The following is a 19,071-nucleotide window of genomic DNA, read 5'->3' as shown; positions in this document are numbered from 1 at the left end:
AGAGAAACCTTAAGTGTTGTAAACCATAAATGAGCAAGTCTCCTGTAGCGGACACTGCACTGGCCAGAACCCCCCTCAGGACGGAAACATGCTTCCCAGAAGCTACTGGAAGTGCTGGAAGCTCACAGGCTCTCATCTGAGTCCCTCTCTAGGAATCACTCTCCACCATGGAAGCCTCAGGCCCAGGCCACACCCCTCCCTCAGGGCAGTGGCATTGAATAACTAGTTGGCACAGGGCAAAAAGGCACAGGCCCAATTCCTGACATCTCTTATCTTGTTGAGCCACCCAGCTCCAGATGTGCCCAGTGGATGAGCTGAGGCAGCAAGTGGGCTGTAGTTCAACTTCTGCCCAGTGCTGCATCGCTCCCGCCCCACAGCTCTCCTCAATAGCCTCCTGATGCAAGTCTCGACCTCAGAGTGTTTCCCAGGGAATCTGATCTGCAACACCCCTCAGTTACTATTAACATGCCAAGTGCAGGCCTGTTGCTGGCAAGTGGAGACCAGGGTAACTGGTAACATCCATGGCCCCTCTGTACACCTCACTAGCACAGCACCACTGGCACAGACCCCTGGCGTGCCCCTCAGCCCCCTCACAGCAGCACCCACTAACCAGGTGCGCTTGTTGTCAAAGAAGAGGACAAGGAAGAGCTTCTCTCCAGCCTCTGCCTGTTTCTGCTCTCCCAGCTTCAGCACGTCCAGCGGGGGGACAGGGATGGGAACGCCATTGTGCAGGAGGCCCTCCCGGGGCATCTTGGGATCGATGATCTGGAGGCAGAATAGAAGATGGGCACTCAGTGAGGGAGGCCAGGGTGAGCAGTGCCCCTGCTGCAGGACCAACTGCTGAAGCACCCACACCAGGGGAGTATCAGGCCTGAGTGGGATATCTTTGATGTCCAGACCAGACAGGCAAACCCCTTCCTCCAATGTCCCTTAGGACAGAAGAGTAGAGGTCACTTTTTTTTTCCTGTCAATTTCCCCTTAGTACCTTTGCAATTCACCTCAAATGTTTGGGGGCCTTCCCTAGGTACCACGGCTATGAAGAAGGCTTTGCATCGGGAAGGCCATCCAGTTGGTTCTAACGAGGTCTCTGGTTACCCACTACCTTCCTGTCTGACTACAATCCTTCCTGATACATGGACCAGATATATTTGTGACACCTCCATGGTAAGATCAGAGAGGAGGCTCAGTGTATAGCTAGAGAATGAGCTTGGAGGTTGATGGAGAGGGGGGTATGATGTGGGTGGAAACAAGGGCCACTGGAGGCATTAATCCTTGAGGCAATAAGCTCCACAAGGGCAGCAGCTGGGCCCTTCTCCTTCAGGTTTGCTTCTGGCATCCAGCCCCACCTTGCCTGGCTCAGAGACGGCAGGTGCTCAGCAAAATGCCTGGCAGCATCAACACAACAATCAAAATCCAGGTCTAGGGAGCACTTTCAAAGTTTCCAAAGCTCCTAATTATTCACACATCATCTCATTTCAATCTCTTGCTGATGCTGAGAAGTCTGCTAACAGGTGTTAGCTGACAAGAGGAAAACACCAAGCACAGAAGCAGAATGTAGCTGGCTAAAACCACATTGGTACTAAAACCAAACAAGGCTTGGGCCTCCACAGCCCACTGCCTCCTACACAGCCCCTGCTTCCAGAGCAGACAGCTAATAGCTCTGGGAGCAAAGACTAGGAACTTACTGAGGAAGCAGCCTTCTCCAGAGACAGAGCAATCTTACTTCCTATACGCTGTCCCAGTGGGCCCCTTCTTACAATAAACTGCTCTCATTATTTACCTTTGCTTGTCTGCCAATTTCACTACATCCCTCTCAAGATAAGCAGCTGAAAGCAGCTGTTCTGGTTAGGAGTTTACTCTAAGGAAGAACCACCTTACCCCACCCACCAGGTGTGTAATTTGATCAAAACTCTCTCTCCCAGCCTGTCTGTCCCTCCTGGGATTGAAGTAAAGGGTCTTAAGGAGAACCACCATACAAGCCCTTGTAAGCTTCCTTGATTACCAAACAAGACAGTGAGGCTACTCTGATATGTTTCCTCTTGACTAAGGCATGCTGGTTCCTGCCTTGGAACCCAGGGTGCTTGCAGAGGGTAGATTGTGAAAAATTTCCCCTGAGGGCAAAAGCAAGGTGGGTAAGTCTGCCAACTGAGGACAGCTTTTGTGTCCCAAAATAATAAATGGTCCATTCATTCAATGAATACTATGCAAATGTAAAACAACATGGTAACAAAGTTTGTGATAAAACTTAACATATGTGTACATACACTATTATTACAACTATAATATGAATATGCGAACAATAAATAGAACGATACAAAATGCTTGGAGTCAACATTAGAATGGTGGGGTTTGTGTTTTTTCGCCTCTATTTTTCCAAACTTCTATAATGCAGTATATTACTCTTACAAACAAAAACAAAAACAAAAACAAGAAAAAATGTTTAAAAGACAAGAAAAAAAAGACAAGAGCCAGAAAAAATTAAAAACTTTATATCCACTATTTATGGATGCAAATACATACTGAAGAATGCATAGGAAAAAGACTAGGAGAGCATACACCAAAATAAAAACACAGGTTGTGTTCAGGTGGTGGCTGAATTTCTTTAATCATGACAAAATGTATAATTAAGAGGGTAATTAAAAAAAAGACGAGTTTTAGACTAGTTTTTTTGCATTGTGAGGTATTCTGTCTGTTTGTTTTTTAAATCCAAACCTGCACAGCTTAATCACTTCTTTAATGACTGAGCTGGGAGTCCTGCGGTTTCACCGCTGGCAGGGCAGAGAGCCCTGTGAAGGCAGGCAGCCCCAGGCCCTAACTCTTCAGCTGCTAGGTCACAGTATGGATTTTCCCCACCTGCTACTGCTAAGGAGGGAGTAGAGTAGGCAACATGGTTTCCAATATGGTTCCAACAAACTGTATTAATACAACCTCTTTGAGCTATAATTTCCTTATCTGACCAAACAGGATCAGAATTCCTCCTCTCCTTATCTTAAAAGGCTGCTGTTAAAAGTTGCAGATATGAAGGGGCTAGGAGAAACCCAGAGTCCTGTATACATGTAAGAGGCTGGTGGGGTGGTTCCCAACCCTGGCTACAGATCATCTAGGATGTTTTCTAAAAAATATTGATGCCTCAGTCTGGCCTCAGAGAGTCTAATTTGATAGCGCTGGGGTGGAGGTGACTTGATATGGGTATTGTTTTAAAAATTTCCACAGATTATTCTGACATGCCCCAAAGGTTTAGTATCAGTGGTATCTTCCAGAGCTAGGTGGACACTACCTCCCCAACTGAGAAAGAGTTCAGAAATAACAATCAAGGTGGTAAAAATTGAATTTTTAACTGCTACTACTATGACAGAAATGAAAAGTTTAGTTACTGCTGGTGTGAGTATAAACCAAAATGAACTTCCAGCAACTTGGCAACTTGTATCAGAATTCTGCATAGACTTTGCCCCAAGAAGGGACTCCTAAGAATTCACTGTAAGGAAATAATCATGGATGTGCACAAGGGTAAAACTACAATGATGTTTATTGCCAACTGTTTATCATAGTGAAAAATTCAAAACAATGTAAGTGACCAACTAGGGAATGGTTAAAATATGGTACATGCATACAACTGAAGACGATGCAATCATTAAAAGTGATGTTGATGAAGAATGTTTAATGGCATAAGATGTGCATGTTCATGATATGCTGTTAAGTGAAAGGGAGGCTAAAAGCAATATGGTCTCATATATATGCATATTTATACATTTTTTGTAAAAGAGTAAGTGGATATACACCCCAAGTTATCCCTGCAGGACTGTGGATGATTTTGAACTCAGTGGCTCAGAACACAGGCTTTGACATCACACATTTTAAGCCCTGGGCTCAAATTCCAACCCTGTCATTTATTAGCTGAATGACCACAAATCATCAGTTTTCTTCTTACAAAATGTAATAATCATACTTTCCTCAGTATTTCAAGGACTTAGCATGACAAATATTTAATAAAACGTCTAAGCATTATCAGTAGCTTTAAAGATTCTCTAAAATGGGCCCTGTTACTTTTATGCATAAGGAAATAAATAAATGCTATTAAAACTCTAAGAACCCTGGCCTTGATCTGCATACTTTTAGCCTATTTTTAGTGCTCCAAGCTGGGAGCCTTGCTAGTTTGACCCACTCAGGCTGGGGCAAAACCCCCCTCCCCTCTACAGCTAAAGACACTCTGACTCCCACCACACTCTGCTGGCTTAATCCAATCAGATTAGCCCCCAAGGCAAGGCAGGGGAGATAGGAGGGTGGCGTCTGGGGCAGACTCACCAAGGCAGGGTAGGAGGGGTAGCCTCGGCACTTGGCCCACACCAGCTCCAAGGGCTCCAGGTCTCCGCGGTCTTCAAAGGGCAGCAGGAGGCTTCTGCCTGGGGGTGGGGGAGGGGAGGAGACAGCACCCAAAGGGGACTTGGAATGGTGCCCAAAAGGCCTGCCTGTGGCCTCCACTTGACTGGGGCAACCCAGGAATGAGTCACAACATCCCCTCCACCCTTCCTTTTCCCTCTCCTTTCCTTAGAAGTTAGACTGGATCAGGGGTCAGCAAACTAGTTCTGTAAAGGGCCAAATAGTAAATATTTTAGCTTCTGTGGGCAACACGGCCTCTGTTGCAATTACTCAACACTGCTGTTGTTATAGCATGAAAGCAGCCACACACACAATCTATAAATGAATGAGCATGGCTATGTCCCAATAAAACTTTATTTTTTGGACACTGAAATTTGAATTTCATGTAATTTTCATGTTATGAAATATCATTCTTCTTTTGATTTTCTTTTCAATCATTTCAAAATGTAAAAACCATTTTTGGCCCATGGACCATACAAAAATAGGCTACAGGCCATAGTTTACCGACCTCTGAACTAGAACCCTAAGACAGCTTTCCCTGGAAAAATGTTAACTGCTTCATCCTCATGGCCTTAGGGAGAAGGGCCATAATCCAGCTTGGGCAATGCCACATACTGCTCTCTGGGCCTCCCTGAGTGCGGAGTCCTCATGATGGAGGCTTCATGGACAAAGATGCCAGGGAAGACATCCTGGTAAAATTACTTGCTAACTGAGTTATTTTCTGACAGGGTCACACCTAGCCATCTAGGACACCTGGATGCACGGCACTCAGCAGAGCTAAGCAGTCTGCAAGTCCTTCACATGCCTTCTTTTGTCAGAAATGAGACTGGGTATCCCTGGAGCAGGCACTGCATCCTTTCATCTTACTTTGCTCTGCACTCAACGCACTAACACATGTGAATGAGTGCTTCACAGATGCTTCTGAACACACAGAAGAACCACTCTTTCCCTCCCCACATCTATACACTGGAATGGGCAGGTGACCACACTCAACCAAGGAAAAAAGTCCAAATCTAACAGGGTGGAAATTGTTATTTCTAAGGAAATATTACTACCTCACTTTTTAAAAAATTTTATTTATTTATTTTTTTGTAGAGATAGGATCTCACTATGTTGCCCAGGCTGGTCTCAAACTCCTGGCTTCAAGCAACCCTCCCACCTTGGCTTCCCAAAGTGCTGGAATTACAGGCATGAGCTACTGTGCTTAACTCCACTTGTAATTTTTAAAAATGTATTAAAATTATAAGATACTATTTTGCACCTATTGAATCAATAGCAGTAACAATAAAAAGATAAAATCCAATACCAAAGAGGTAGACTGAGTAGAAACTGGTGCAATCACATACTACTGATGCAATTACAGACCAAACCCATCCTTATGGAATGTAATTTGGCAGTATGTCTGAAGAGCCATTTAAAAAATGTATGAACCACCTGTTCCAGTAAATTCCTTCCCTGGGAATTTATTCTGAGAAAAATAACTTTAAAGATGAATAAAAGGATTTTAAACAAAAATATGGGTTCACTACATTACATATAATGCTAAAAGCCGGAAACAACCCAAATGCCTAACAATAGAATGGTTAAGTAAATTATAATGCATTGTTAGATACACTGTTCCAATAATATGAGATATATAAAGATTATGTGTCAACATGAAGAAAGTACAAAAAAAAATTGAAAAAAGTAGAATACAAAAGTGCATGTGTTTGGGTCAGCATTTTGTTAAAAATGTGCCTGAAATAAACAGAAGGCAACACAGAAAAATGAAGACAATCATGTTACAGTGATGGAACTATGGGAGGTCAATATCCTTTGGCGTAATTTTAGTAAGCATGTGGTTTTAAAAGTAAGAATAAGATGTCACCACCAGAAGCACAAAGTGTGCCAATCCACTCCTGGCTTTGTGTGAGATGCTGTACAAATTCATTTAGACATGAGCCTGACCTTTTGGGAACTGACAGTTACAGAAAGCAATGAAACACACAGGCATGCATTCATCAACACACATACGAGAAAGAAACTGATGCTAAGGGAAAATAAAGCAGTTGGGTAAAGGAACGAAGGAAGAGAAGCCCTGCAGCCTGTGTGTTAGATGGACACTTCAAAGACAGGGCATCCAGGGAGCACACACCCCTGTATAGCAGGGCTGGACAGAGATGAGCTCAGAGAACAGCCTGCTCTGCACCTGTCCCACCTAAGCACCACCCCAGGCCTCTCCCCCAGGTCCTGCCCTGCCCTTTATTCCTTTTATCCAAGGAGACAAGGCCCATAAAACTACAGGGTTATGTATGTGCGAGATTCAGTGATACAGGCTATCACTGATAACGTTTGTGAATGGGGACAGGCAGTATCCATGAAAACTACAAACACACACTTCCTTCAATTCAGTAATTCCACTTCTATAGATAGGCTCCCTATGGATATAAAATTATCTATGCATAAGGTTGCTCACTGCAACACTGGTTACGATAATAAATGAAAACAATCTAAACGTCCATCTTTTAGAGGACTGGCTAAGCAAATGATAGCATTCCTATATAATGGGACACTGGGAAGCCAATAAAAAGCACAGAAGGATCTCCAAGATATATTATTAGCTGGAAAAAAAGGAATGGTTTAGAGGAACATGTGCATATTAGGCTTCTCCACTCACTCTCTTAATTATTCATGCAAGTTTTGGCTTGTATACATATGGATTACCTCTGGAAAGATATAAAAGAAAATGCTAGCAGTTGATGTTCCAGGGAGGGGAGTGCTAGCTTTCATTATACACTCTTTTGTACCTTTTTGATTTTTATTACTATGGGCATGTACAACCTATTCAAATTTAAGATGCAATTAAAAAAAAAAAAAGAGTATGATTGGCCTGGGAGAGTGCCATCTCCCTGCCCAAGGGCCCAAGAGTTTGGGGGAGCTCAAGGACTGGCTGCCTGGTACGGAGCCCCAGCAGTGCAGCAGCCTGAAGAGCTGGCTCCTCAGAAGGCCTGGCCCCCTCAGTTCTGCCTGAACACTGCTCCTCACCTGAGCCATTGTAGTCAGAGTCTCCGTTCACACCTTCCAGGAAGGGCACTCGAGACAGGGCTGGCTTCCCACGGCTGCGTTTGGGGGGCGTCAGACCACTGCACACAGAGCAGGGAGAGAGGGGTGAAATGAGCAATTTCAATGACTAAAACGCCGACTCCCCTTCTCCCCTCTCCCCTCTCTGACAGGAGTGGAGCTGCAAAAACTCTTCAGGGAGGACAGTTTCTCACCTTCCCCTAAAAACTCACACTAACCCATGTTTTTGACTGAAAAGTTCCCATGAGGTTTTGAGGAACCATTTCATCTACATGGAAGGACTGAACCTGGAAGGAGTTGCTCAGTTCCCTGCTCAGGAACCTTGGACTTCATCCAAAGGAAAGGTCACACCAGTCATTTGTCAATCCTTCCAGCGTCTAAGCAGCTTTGCCATGACAGGGGCCATCTTACATCTGCCCAGAATTCTTTGCTCTGGTTCACATCGCTTTTCTTTAGAAACCAATTTATTTTTGAGATTCAAAAATTTGCCTCTTTGCCAAATTTTCTAAAGTGGACATGTCATACTTCCTTAATTAGAAAAGACATTTTTAAATTGGAAAAAAAAATGCACTTCTCACTTCCAAATGGTTTATGTGTGAAGTTTTTCTTGGATAGAGAGAAGTGGATTTTTTAAAGTAAAAAGTGGGCTGGGTGTGGTGGCTCACGCCTGTAATCCCAACACTTTGGGAGGCTGAGCTGGGCAGATCACGAGGTCAGAAGATCGAGACCACCCTGGCCAACATGGTGAAACCTCATCTCTACTAAAAATACACAAATTAGCTGGCCGTGGTGGCACGTGTCTGTACTCCCAGCTACTCAGGAGGCTGAGGCAGGAGAATCACTTGAACCAGGGAGTTGGAGGTTGCAGTGACCCAAGATCATGCTACTGCACTCCAGCCTGGCGACAGAGCAAGACTCCATCTCAAAAAAAAAAAAAAAAAAAAAAAAGTAGACCAATTTTTGTTTCATGACTATTGCAAAGAGGCAAAATGTATATTACACAAAGACTAAAAAGTGATAAGCAAAAATTAGAATGGCAATACCAAAGCAATGTTGCAACTGAAGCCCACCCGGGCATCATCAGTATTTTCAAATTGTTCCCCATACAATTCTAATGTACACCGTAGCTTCTGGGCAAAAATGATATGGCTAGCACTTTTTTCCATCCAAACTTCAAAAAATAATATTACTCCTATATAACTTTAAATTTTCTCACTAAAAAATGCTTAAAGAATAGGTCATCAATCTGCAGAAAAGCAGAAATGCTTAAAGAAACCCCTAGTGGGATAAGAAACAGCCAGGAGTAGGGACTGGTTGGAGAGTAGGGTACTCCCGTTTTACTGAATCAGAACTGACTTTATCAGGAACGTATGCTAAGAAAACTTTGCTTAACCAAAACCCAATGAATCATAATTTTTCAGTAACCTGTAGTTAGGTTGGTAGTTTTTATTGCTAGTCAAAATAGAAACTGTTTGGGAAAAAACAAAAAATACCCAGTTTACATTTAGGATTTAGTTCCCATTTACCCTATAAAAATCTGCCAACATATTAGAGAAATTGAGGCCTTGTACAAATGTAAAGTGCTAGTAATTTTATCAGGAAAGCCTCTCAAAGTTCACGTCAAGATGAGAAAAAGAAAAACAAATCAAAGTTCACATCAAGAATCTGGGGAGACATCTTCAAATACAACAGAAGACAGCACAGCAAAGTAGTTAAGAAATTAAACTCTTGGAGCCTATCTGGGTTCAAAACCCAGCTCTTGTTATCAGTTCTGTAACCTTCAGCAAGTTACTTAACTTCTCCGAGGCTTACACTCCCCATGTGTTGTTGTAAGGATTAATGAACGAACACACATAAAACTCTCAGTACAGCACATACCATGCAGTCAATAAACACAGCTGTAGTTATTGTCATACGAAGGATAGTAAATTTTAATGTCTTACTTAAAGTATTACAAACTGCTAATACTGTACTATAGAATGATGAGCTCTGAGAAGGATGAGCTCAATAAAATAGGATGCAACACCAAAAATAGGTCTGTATGTTCCTGATTTGTAGAAAAAAGCACAACTGACTCAATCATGGCCTGCATTTCAGCCCTTTCTCCAAGTTACCCCAGCCTAAGCAGACAACCCAACCTACAGTTATCTTATTTACTGGTTTAACATCCATATCCATGAGAACAGACACCTTAGAAGATAATCTTCATGAGAACAGGCACCTTAGTGCTTAGAACAGTACCTGGCATACAGTAGGTGTTCAGTTATCAATATTTGAATGAGTGATCTATAGAAAGCACATGTAGCACCAACCTGCTCAGAAAATCATCAGAAAAGATAAACCAAGGGGTAAGTGAAAAAGGGAGTGTGGGGGATGGGTTAGTGACCAGTTCTTTCAAGGTTATTTCTAATTCTGGGATTATATGATTCTGGTCTAATAAATAAGGTCTTCCCTTATATACTTATTACCACAGTATGGGGGGAAAAAGAAAAACAACCCTTGCAGTTGAAGCCTTTGGATCTCCTATTTTAAACCCTGAAATATTAATACATACTTCCTCCAAGGGGCCCCAGATAAATCAAGGGCATTGCACTGGAGTTCTGCAGAAAGGCAAACACGCCACCTGAATTAGCAGGCTAACCAGAGCCTGGCCTTGCTTGCTCTTGTGGCTCATAGCTGAAAAGAATGCCCTTCATAGAAGAAGGGGCCAACAACACACCTTTCACTTTTAGTCAAGAGCAAGAAAAGGATAGTTTGATGGGTCCAATCCTACCCTGACCCCAACAAAGTGGGCTTCCAGGTACCTTATCTTTGAAGGGAGTCAGGAACTTCAACCCAGGGCCAGGCTAGAAGCATCGTGTAAGATTCTGAAATCTTTCTCTTTCCTGTGCCTGATAATTTTTTCCCATCTACTTCCCCTATATCTCTGGAGGCTGCAATAGGAAGCTAGGGCAACTCTGAGGGTTGGCGGGGGGTAGGGGAATCTCAGAGAAACCACAGCAGGGAACCAGTCCAGGCCAACGAGTAGCTGGGGACCCCCTCAGCCCTACCAGTAGTCCTACAGCCCAGGTAGACTGAATGCCTAAAAGAACACATGCCCAGTCTGCCTTGGAAGCACTTCAAACACAAATAGTCTTCTGGTGCTGCCCTGGGACCTTTCCTCCCCTACTCTGAACCTAAGACCCATTCAGCAGTCATGGGTGGGGCCATGACATTAGCCTTCAGGACAAGTCACTTTTCCTTTGTGGCAGTGAGGGTTTCTCATTTCTAAGAGTCCTCCCCGCCCTGGTGTCTTGCAGAACACAGAACACAGAGCAGGGGCTCCATAAGCTCTTGTGCCTGGAAGAAACTTTAAGGTCTGGTCTGAGAAATCCTCCCTTCAGATAAAAGAATGGGAAGAAATCCATCTCTTTTCAGCTCAAGGACAGCAGAAGAGCTTTGGGGCCTTTGTCTGAATAAAAGGCAATTCCAGGCCAGGCGCAGTGGCTCACGCCTGTAATTCCAGCACTTTGGGATGCTGCGGCGGGCAGATCACTTGAGGTCAGGAGTTCAAGACCAGTCTGGCCAACATGGTGAAACCTCATCTCTACTAAAATACAAAAATTAGCTAGGCGTGGTGGCACGTGCCTATACTCCCAGCTACTCAAGAGGCAGAGGCAGGAGAATCACTTGAACCCAGGAGGCGGAGGTTGCAGTGAGCCGAGATCGGGCCACTGCACTCCAGCCTGGGCAGCAAGCAAGACTCCGTCTCAAAAAAAAAAAAAAAAAGGCAATTCCAAATTTCCTACTTGGTCATTTCATACACCTACACCACACCTCTATAAAGAGGCTATGACGCCCCAAAAGGCAAAGAGCAAAACCAACTCTGTAATGGCTGGGTTGTCTAAATGTGTGTAGGGGCAGCAGGGGACTTTGGCTCAAATGTTAATTTCACTGAACAACAGGAGATTTAGCTTTTCTTATCCTCTAGAGTCCAAATTCAGCCCCACAAACCCTGTAAGCATCAGCACTACTCTTCCTCTCTCAGATCAGATCTGAGAGTCAAGGGTCACCCTGTTTCCTAGGAACTCCCAGAGTTACAGATAAGAGGCCTCAGGAAATAGCAGGAGTGGGGGAAGAGAGAAAAAGGTAAGCAGGAAGAGGTTCAATCTGTAGCTGAATGGAGAGTAAAAGGAGGGGTAGCAGAGCTGCTGACAAAGCTTTGGGAATGTGTTCTTACCTGCAAGCTTCAAATGCCAGTCCACCACTGAGACCCAAACTACATTCAGAGTCAGACCCGCTTTCGGTGTGTTTTCCAAAGCCGTTGGTCATGCCTGCCAAGGACACACACAGTGAGTCTGAGTGCAGAAATCCCCCTTCCCAACACATGCTACAGGGTGAGGCAGCCACCTCAGGAGGGCTCAGTGACGAGTGGAGAGGATGGCTATTCCTTTCCCTGTGAGAAATGGGTCTTGGGTGATAGAGAAGATCTGATCAAGATAAAAGTTTGGGGGGAAATATTGCTGGCTAGGGCAAGGAGCAGACACTGCAATTTCCTTCCCATCCTTCTGCTTTTTGTTTAAGGAAACCATAGCACACAGCTCACTCAGCTACTGTCATTTGGCTACACAGGGAGATACTAAGACTTCTCCTACCCTGGCTGGCTCACAAGTCCTTGGATCTGCTTCTAATTTCAAACCTCGATTATCAGGTAGCCTTCTCTGCCTTTTTCAGGAGCCCAACCACCTTGCCTCTTCAGATAAAGACTCACATAACCTATGCATCACACAGCTGGCAACAGCTAGTTTGATTCTTTGGGGGTGGTGTCAAGAGAGACTAGAGATGGATAAGGGCCCTTTGTCAACCACACCCTGAGATATCTCACAGGGCTAATCCAAAGTGAGGATGGGGGCACTCTTCAGCGGAACTAAAGCAGCCCGGAACTTCCTGGGAGGGAGAGTCAGAACCTGGGGTTCTAGGCTGGGCTCTGAAACACAGGTTCCTTTTCTCTTGCTTTGAGGTCTCTTGACCTCTCCTTTGGTGAAGTGAAGATAATACCTTACTTACTTACTATTCAGTATGTATGAGAGAAGGTCTGTTTATAGTGGGGAGCCCTTCAGAGGCGAATGAAGGCTGTTTGGTCATCCCAGGTATATGACCTTGAAGTGAAGGCTTCCACTCTCCTATCTATCCAATTTATTTTTCTATTTTTTGAGATAGGGTCTCGCTCTGTTGCCCAGGCGGAGTGCAGTGGTGTAAACAAGGTTCACTGGAGCCTCAATAGCATGGGTTCAAGTGATCCCCTGCCTCAACCTCCTGAGTAGGTGTGACCACAGGCATGAATGAGCCCTATGCCCAGCTAACTTTTTAACTTTGCAGAAACAGGGTCTTGCCATGTTGCTCAGGCTGGTCTCGAGCTCCTGGGCTCAAGTAATCCTTCTGCCTCAGCCTCCCAAAGTGCTGGGATTACAGGAATGAGTCACTGTGCCTGGCCTTTATCCAATTGCTAGCCACACTAAAAGTCCTATAATTCTAACAGCTGAGCCAAGAGGTGTACAGAGATGGGCCAGGCACCTGATTTGAAAGCTGTAGATTACAGACACCGTAACTAGAAAACTGTGAGGCAAGTCCCTCCTATAAGAGCAGGTGTCTGAGCCACAATGTCTATCCTCTGACCTGGCTCTGCCTCTAACATTATGACCACAATTTAAATCACTGAAGCCATCTGTGTCTTGGGTGCCTCACTTACGAAGGATCAACACCTCTTTTTGTGAGATTCAACTAAGGTTGTATAGAAGTATCCCTGAGTGCCAGGCAACTGGGATGGTGAGAGACAGGATTCTAGCAGTATCTCCAAGCAACAGGCCCCCTCAGGTTGGATGGGCCTCATGTACAGAGCTACTTCCCAACAGCAGGATCTTTCATTCTTTTAATGCAGTGTTCTCAGCACTGTATGGCTAAGCCTGATTCAACTGACAGGATGACAGTAACTGCTACCATCTACTGCTATATGCCAAGTGCTTTATAAAGGGTATTTCTAGTTCTTAGAACCCTGCAAGGTAGGTATCAGAAACCCCATATTAAGAATAAGGAAACAGGCTCAGAGAAGTTAATTAATTTTCCTGTCGTTACACAGCTAGTAAGAAATTGGGGATTTGAGTGCAGGTATGCCTAAATCCAGGCCTTAAGCTCTTGCCTCTATATACCAACTTACTCCCCTAACACAGAAAAGTTTTGGCCAGACGAGATGGGAAGGTATTGTTGAAAACAAAATGTCAGGCAAGAAGACAGAAAAGCAAGTGCTGGCCACACAGTCCAAAGTCACCACATAAAAGTACATGAGGGACACAAAGAGCAAAAGCCAAGAGCAGCCCTCCCTGCCAAGAAAGTGGGTCTTCCCTAACCCACCAAGACCTAAGTAGTCTGCCCGGCATTCAAAGTCCTTCACATTCAGTCCCATCTCACCCATCCAGTCTTGGCTCCTGATGCTCTGGGAAGCCCCTCTCTAAGCTGTCCCTCACAGAGATTCTGTCCTCCTTGTTCCCACACACCCAGGCCTGAGGCCTTCATAACCATTCCTTTCCAGTCTGCCCTCATCCCACAGGGCCAGCTCAGCCCAACTCCTACAGCTCAAATTCCCTGAACACCTCTAGCAATGCTACCTCTCACCTGACAAATAACAACATACTGTCCACCACTGTGATTTCTCTACATTTTGAGAGACTCATTTGCCCAATGGCCTGTGAACCTTCCAGAGCTGGAATTAAGTCTGACTTATTTTATTACTTCCTCACAGCTACTCATGACTAGCTCCTGCTGGATGTATATTAAGAACACTTTAGGTGGGGCGCGGTGGCTCATGCCTGTAATCCCATCACTTTGGGAGGCTGAGGCGGGCAAATCACTTGAGGTCAGGTGACCAGCCTGGCCAACATGGTGAAACCCCATCTCCACTAAAAACACAAAAATTAGCAAGGCGTGGTGGTGGGCACCTGTAGTCCAGCTACTTGGGAGGCTGAGGCAGGAGAATTGCTTGAACCCAGGAGGCAGAGGTTGCAGTGAGCTGAGATCATGCCACTGCACTCTAGCCTGGGCGACAGAGCAAGACTCATCTCAAAAAAACAAAAAAACAAAAAAAAACCCTCTCTTTAGTGATGGAACCTCCACTACCTACCTCTATCACCACCTCACCCCACCCCACCCCCTCTGCTGCAGCCAAACTGGTTCCCTCAGTGTTCCTCAGACATGCAGGCATGTTCCCACCTCCAGGACCTATGTACTTTCTAGTCTATCTTTTTGGAATGTTCTTCCCCTAGACATACAAATAGCTCATGCCTTCAACTCCTTCAGATCTTTACTCAAACGTTACCTCCTTAGAAAACCTGGCCACCCTCTCTAAGACCACTCTAGCATTCCTTCCCTGCTGGATCTTTCTCCAAATCTTCTAATACAAGATACGGTTTACTCATTTGCTTTTAATATATTCCCCCATAAGAGAGCAGATTTTTGTCTGTTTTGCTCATTGATTTTTTCCCCCAATGCCTAGAACAGTGCCTAACACAAATATTTGATGAATGAACTGAAATGAAGGTAGGAATCATTTTACTTTATACAACATTGCATTACCCTCAGGGCCAATGAATCCCAGACACAATCTGGCTCTCTGGAAAATACCTGCTCAAAGCCTATTTCCCCTGGCTGCTACTAACATGCCAGGCCCAACTGTGAGCTATGGTGCCCTCAATGCTACTATTGCTGTCCAATGGTGCCATTAGAGAGATGGCCAATTGGGGAAGGTGCTGGTTGGCAAGGCAAAGCAGAAAAGCAGATGCGAAGTATCAAGAGAAGTCACAGGCAGGGTCACCTGTCTCTTCCTCCTGCTGGGGGGACCTCTCCCCTTCGCTCTCACTACAGCTCCTGCTCCTTGGCCGCTTCCGGGAGTGGCGCTCTTCCTCGATGCTGGCTGGAGAGGCAGGAGAGCCTGCCACACCATGGTCCTCGCCATTCTCCAGGACCCTGTCTGGGCTTCTCTGTAGCTTAACCCCATTCTTGGCCTTCTTGAAGAGGACTGATGTGCGGCGACCCACACCACTAAGTGGGGTACCGGCCGGGGTGTCAGGGGCCATGAGGGATAGTCTGTTGATGCCATTGTCACTGAGCAAGCGTTGCAAAGGCTCATTCCCTAGCTGCAGTGGTGATTTTTCCAAGAGCTCATCTTCTTCCACCTTTCTGGGCTTTAGGAACCTGCTTGGAGGTTTGCTATCATTAATGGGTTTCAGAGTAGGGGGCTCCGGGGGGGATTCTTGCTCAGACAAGGAAGGTGCAGGCCCAGTGGGCTCCAGGGTTGGCGGAGGAGGCAGTTTGGAGTCATCTATTAGAAAAAAAGAGAATCTGCTTGAACATTTTAGAAAGAGTCTGCTCCTACAAGCTAGATACTGACACTGACAACCAAGGACCAAAAGCATTGGCTGTTATAAGGCTTGAGATGCATTCAAGGTCTTAGATCTGAAGCAAAGAGAAAGGAGGATTAGGTTTTTTTTTTTTTTCAGAGACAGGATCTTGCTCTGTTGACCAGGCTGGAGTGCAGTGGTCTGATCACAGCTCACTGCAACCACAAACTCCTGGGCTCAAGTGATTATCCTGCCTCAGCCTCCAAAGTAGCTAGGTCTATAAGCACACACCACCACACTTGGCTAGGCTAATTTTTCAAAAAAATTTTTGTAGAGACAGGGTCTTACTGTGTTGCCCAGGCTGGTCTCAAACTCCTGGCCTCAAACAATCCCCCTGCCTCTGCCTCCCAAAGTGCTGAGATTACAGGGATGAGCCACTGTACCCATCCCCAGGAGAAGTAAGTTTTATCTACACTAGTAGTTCTCAACCCTGGCTATGTATAAGAATCACATAGGAAGTTTCTTAAAAATTCCAATGCCTAGGCTCCATCCCATACCAACTGAAACCAAATTTGTAAAGATAGGGTATTTTGTTTTTTAAAGCTTACCAAGTGAGTCTAATGAAGTGAGGATTGCAAACCATTGCTCTACACAAAGAAAGCCACATGCTTAATCAATAAATAGGTTAAGTCTCAGCTTGACAGATTAGGTATCTACAATTCTCACTGGACTCAAGAGTTTTCTCATCTGTCAATCGATTTTATTTCACATCACCCAAGTAAGAACAAGTACAGCAGGCAGAAAAAGTTCACAAATGTGAAAAACGAGACCAAGTAAGTTAAATCAGTGGTTGCCAAACATGTGTGCTCACCTACCACCTTGAAACTTTTTTTTTTTTTTTGAGACGGAGTCTCGCTCTGTCGCCCAGGCCGGACTGCGGACTACAGTGGCGCAATCTCGGCTCACTGCAAGCTCCGCTTCCCGGGTTCACGCCATTCTCCTGCCTCAGCCTCCCCAGTAGCTGGGACTACAGGCGCCCGCCACCGCGCCCGGCTAATTTTTTGTATTTTTAGTAGAGACGGGGTTTCACCTTGTTAGCCAGGATGGTCTCGATCTCCTGACCTCATGATCCACCCGCCTCGGCCTCCCAAAGTGCTGGGATTACAGGCGTGAGCCACCGCGCCCGGCCGAAACTTTTAAAAATTGAGACTTCCAAGCCAAAGCCCAGACATCCCTAACTGAATCTATGGGAGGTGAGGCTACACCTTTTTTTTTTTTTTTTTTTTTTCTAGGTGATGCTGTTGGCCTACTGGGCACAACTCTGTACTGCCACAGCCCCAGAAGTAGGGATACAAATGGCATGCTGACTGTCATACGGGGAGTCCAGAGGAGTCACAATGGACATAAAAGCCCTCTGATGTCAAATGTGATCTCTCAACTATGTCTCCATTCTCTGCCAACCTAAAATAAAATGGGCTGTTACCTACAATTTGGGCCCCTATCCATTGGAAGTAACTTCCAGCCTTTTCGACTGTGTGCGTGACAGGCCCTCCCAAGCTATAGGCTCGGATCCGAAGGCAGGTATGAGGGAGACAATTCCATCCCCAGTGAAGGAGAAGAATGAGAAGCAGCTTAGCTTATAAGGTTCCTGGGTTTCTGAGAGTCACTTCCCTGGCTGTCTTTTCTTCTTTTTTATTTTTATTTTTTTGTCTTTTCTCAAGATCAAGAAAAACTGTGGAAACCAACTATCTTTTATAGTCTGGCCTCTCTACTTGAGATGGGCCTGTAGATTCAGCCAGATGGGGTAAAAACCATGAGGTGGCTCAAAAGCCCAGGGTCTTTCCTTCTCTGCTATCACCTCACACCCCAACCTAACCTGCTCTAGAGTCTCTCCACGTGATGTTACAAGGTAGGCTGATATTTAACTGGTATGTACAATACGGCTGTATCAGGTGCAAAATACTGACATACTTAATTGGCTAATAAACAGCTGCTGGGCTGCAGCACCTGAAACTCCCCACAATCCAGCAACTAAATATCCACAACAGGGGCCTTTGGGAGCCCACTCCAATATAACAGCCAACATCTACTGAGATGGATAAATTTTAGTCTCTAGTGATTGTTAAATATTTTGAACATCATCCCTGCGTATACATGGAAGTGTGGCCCTTCCAAGCACTTTTGCTTGCCCACAAGTGTCAGATCTAAACTCAGAAAGAATACCCCCATTATGATATTTCAGCTTAGCCTTTGTCCCTCTTTACCCTCCAACCCCCTGCCTGCCTGTGACTATCTCTCACCTCTGTCCCCATCGTCTTCTGGCTCCTCCTGCAAGGCCTGCTCCAGCACAGCTGCATCCCCCTGGGGCCCTGCTGGCAGCTCCCCATTGGATACTGTCTTGTTGAGTGATGGTGGCTGTGGTGGTGGTGGCTGTGCCAGCTTCTGCCGAAGGGCATTGATCTCCCGGCGTAGCAGGCGGACACGACGGGTGCGGGCCCCACTGGACCGCATGGCGCTCACCAGGTCCAGTTTCTCCAGCAGCTCCTTCAGCTGCACCTCTGGGGACAAATGGGCCCGGTTCTCTGGGATGAGGATGTTGTCCACTGCCAGGGAGAAGGGAGGACAGAAGGGGCTGAAGGACCTGCCCAGCACAGGGCAAGAGAAAGGGGCCGAATCCTTCGGATGCAAAACTCTCTCTTGGAATGCCTGGGCCAGCAGCTTCCAGCAGCGTCACTGTGGGCCTTGGCCCTGCAACACCACTGCCCAGAAGGCAGCCACAGGGGCAAGGTCAGAATCTGGGAAACGTCTGCAGGAAGCAGTTCACAGTCACGATTATGGGCTCCATGGAGCAGGCATGAGGCAGCTTGGCAATACCCTGGCCTGAGTGACTGGCTGCTGCCATCGAGAAGCAGAGAGCAGGGACAGGCAGCGTGTGGGGCTCAGAGGCAATTCCATTTTTCTGGTCCTCCACCTGCAATCTTCTGAATGAGCCAAACACACACCAGCAATGCACTCTCCCTGTCCCATGCTCCAATGCCATACAGAGGGGATCCAAGAGAGGAAGACCTCTGATGAGGCTTTAAGCTTTTCAAACAGACCACTAGTACCTGATTCCCCTTTTCTACCACTTAAGAAGTGCAGAGTACATTAGTTAAACTTTAACCCTTAGAACTATTCTAGCCACAAAGGTATACCTCAGTCTGTGCTCACCCTCAGCTTTGCTCCTGGAGTCTACCTATAGCCCCAAGGACCACCCTGATCCCTC

At 45.7% G+C, this 19,071-nt stretch overlaps 1 protein-coding gene across 6 annotated transcripts in view; it reads right to left on the bottom strand.

Annotated features, from left to right (window-relative positions):
- Positions 1-19,071, bottom strand: part of BRPF3 (bromodomain and PHD finger containing 3) — a 36,047-nt gene that overhangs the window by 3,124 nt on the left and 13,852 nt on the right. For 3 of the 6 annotated variants that reach the window (NM_015695.3, XM_011514490.2, XM_047418649.1), the window contains exons 7-12: positions 18,107-18,409; positions 15,281-15,787; positions 11,657-11,750; positions 7,402-7,499; positions 4,303-4,400; positions 611-765 (exon numbers count right to left, since the gene is read on the bottom strand). In NM_015695.3, the coding sequence (NP_056510.2) occupies positions 611-765; positions 4,303-4,400; positions 7,402-7,499; positions 11,657-11,750; positions 15,281-15,787; positions 18,107-18,409 (1,255 nt within the window). Of the gene's footprint in view, positions 1-610; positions 766-4,302; positions 4,401-7,401; positions 7,500-11,656; positions 11,751-15,280; positions 15,808-18,106; positions 18,410-19,071 lie in introns of those variants that run through there. The other 3 variants (XM_011514491.2, XM_047418650.1, XM_011514492.2) reach the window with 3 other exon arrangements.

The sequence above is a fragment of the Homo sapiens genome, chromosome 6 (genome assembly GCF_000001405.40).
Source record: "Homo sapiens chromosome 6, GRCh38.p14 Primary Assembly".
In the NCBI taxonomy this organism is placed as follows: Eukaryota; Metazoa; Chordata; class Mammalia; order Primates; family Hominidae; genus Homo; species Homo sapiens.
Note: the sequence above shows the minus strand (reverse complement) of the source record. Positions and strands in the feature narration are given on the sequence as shown.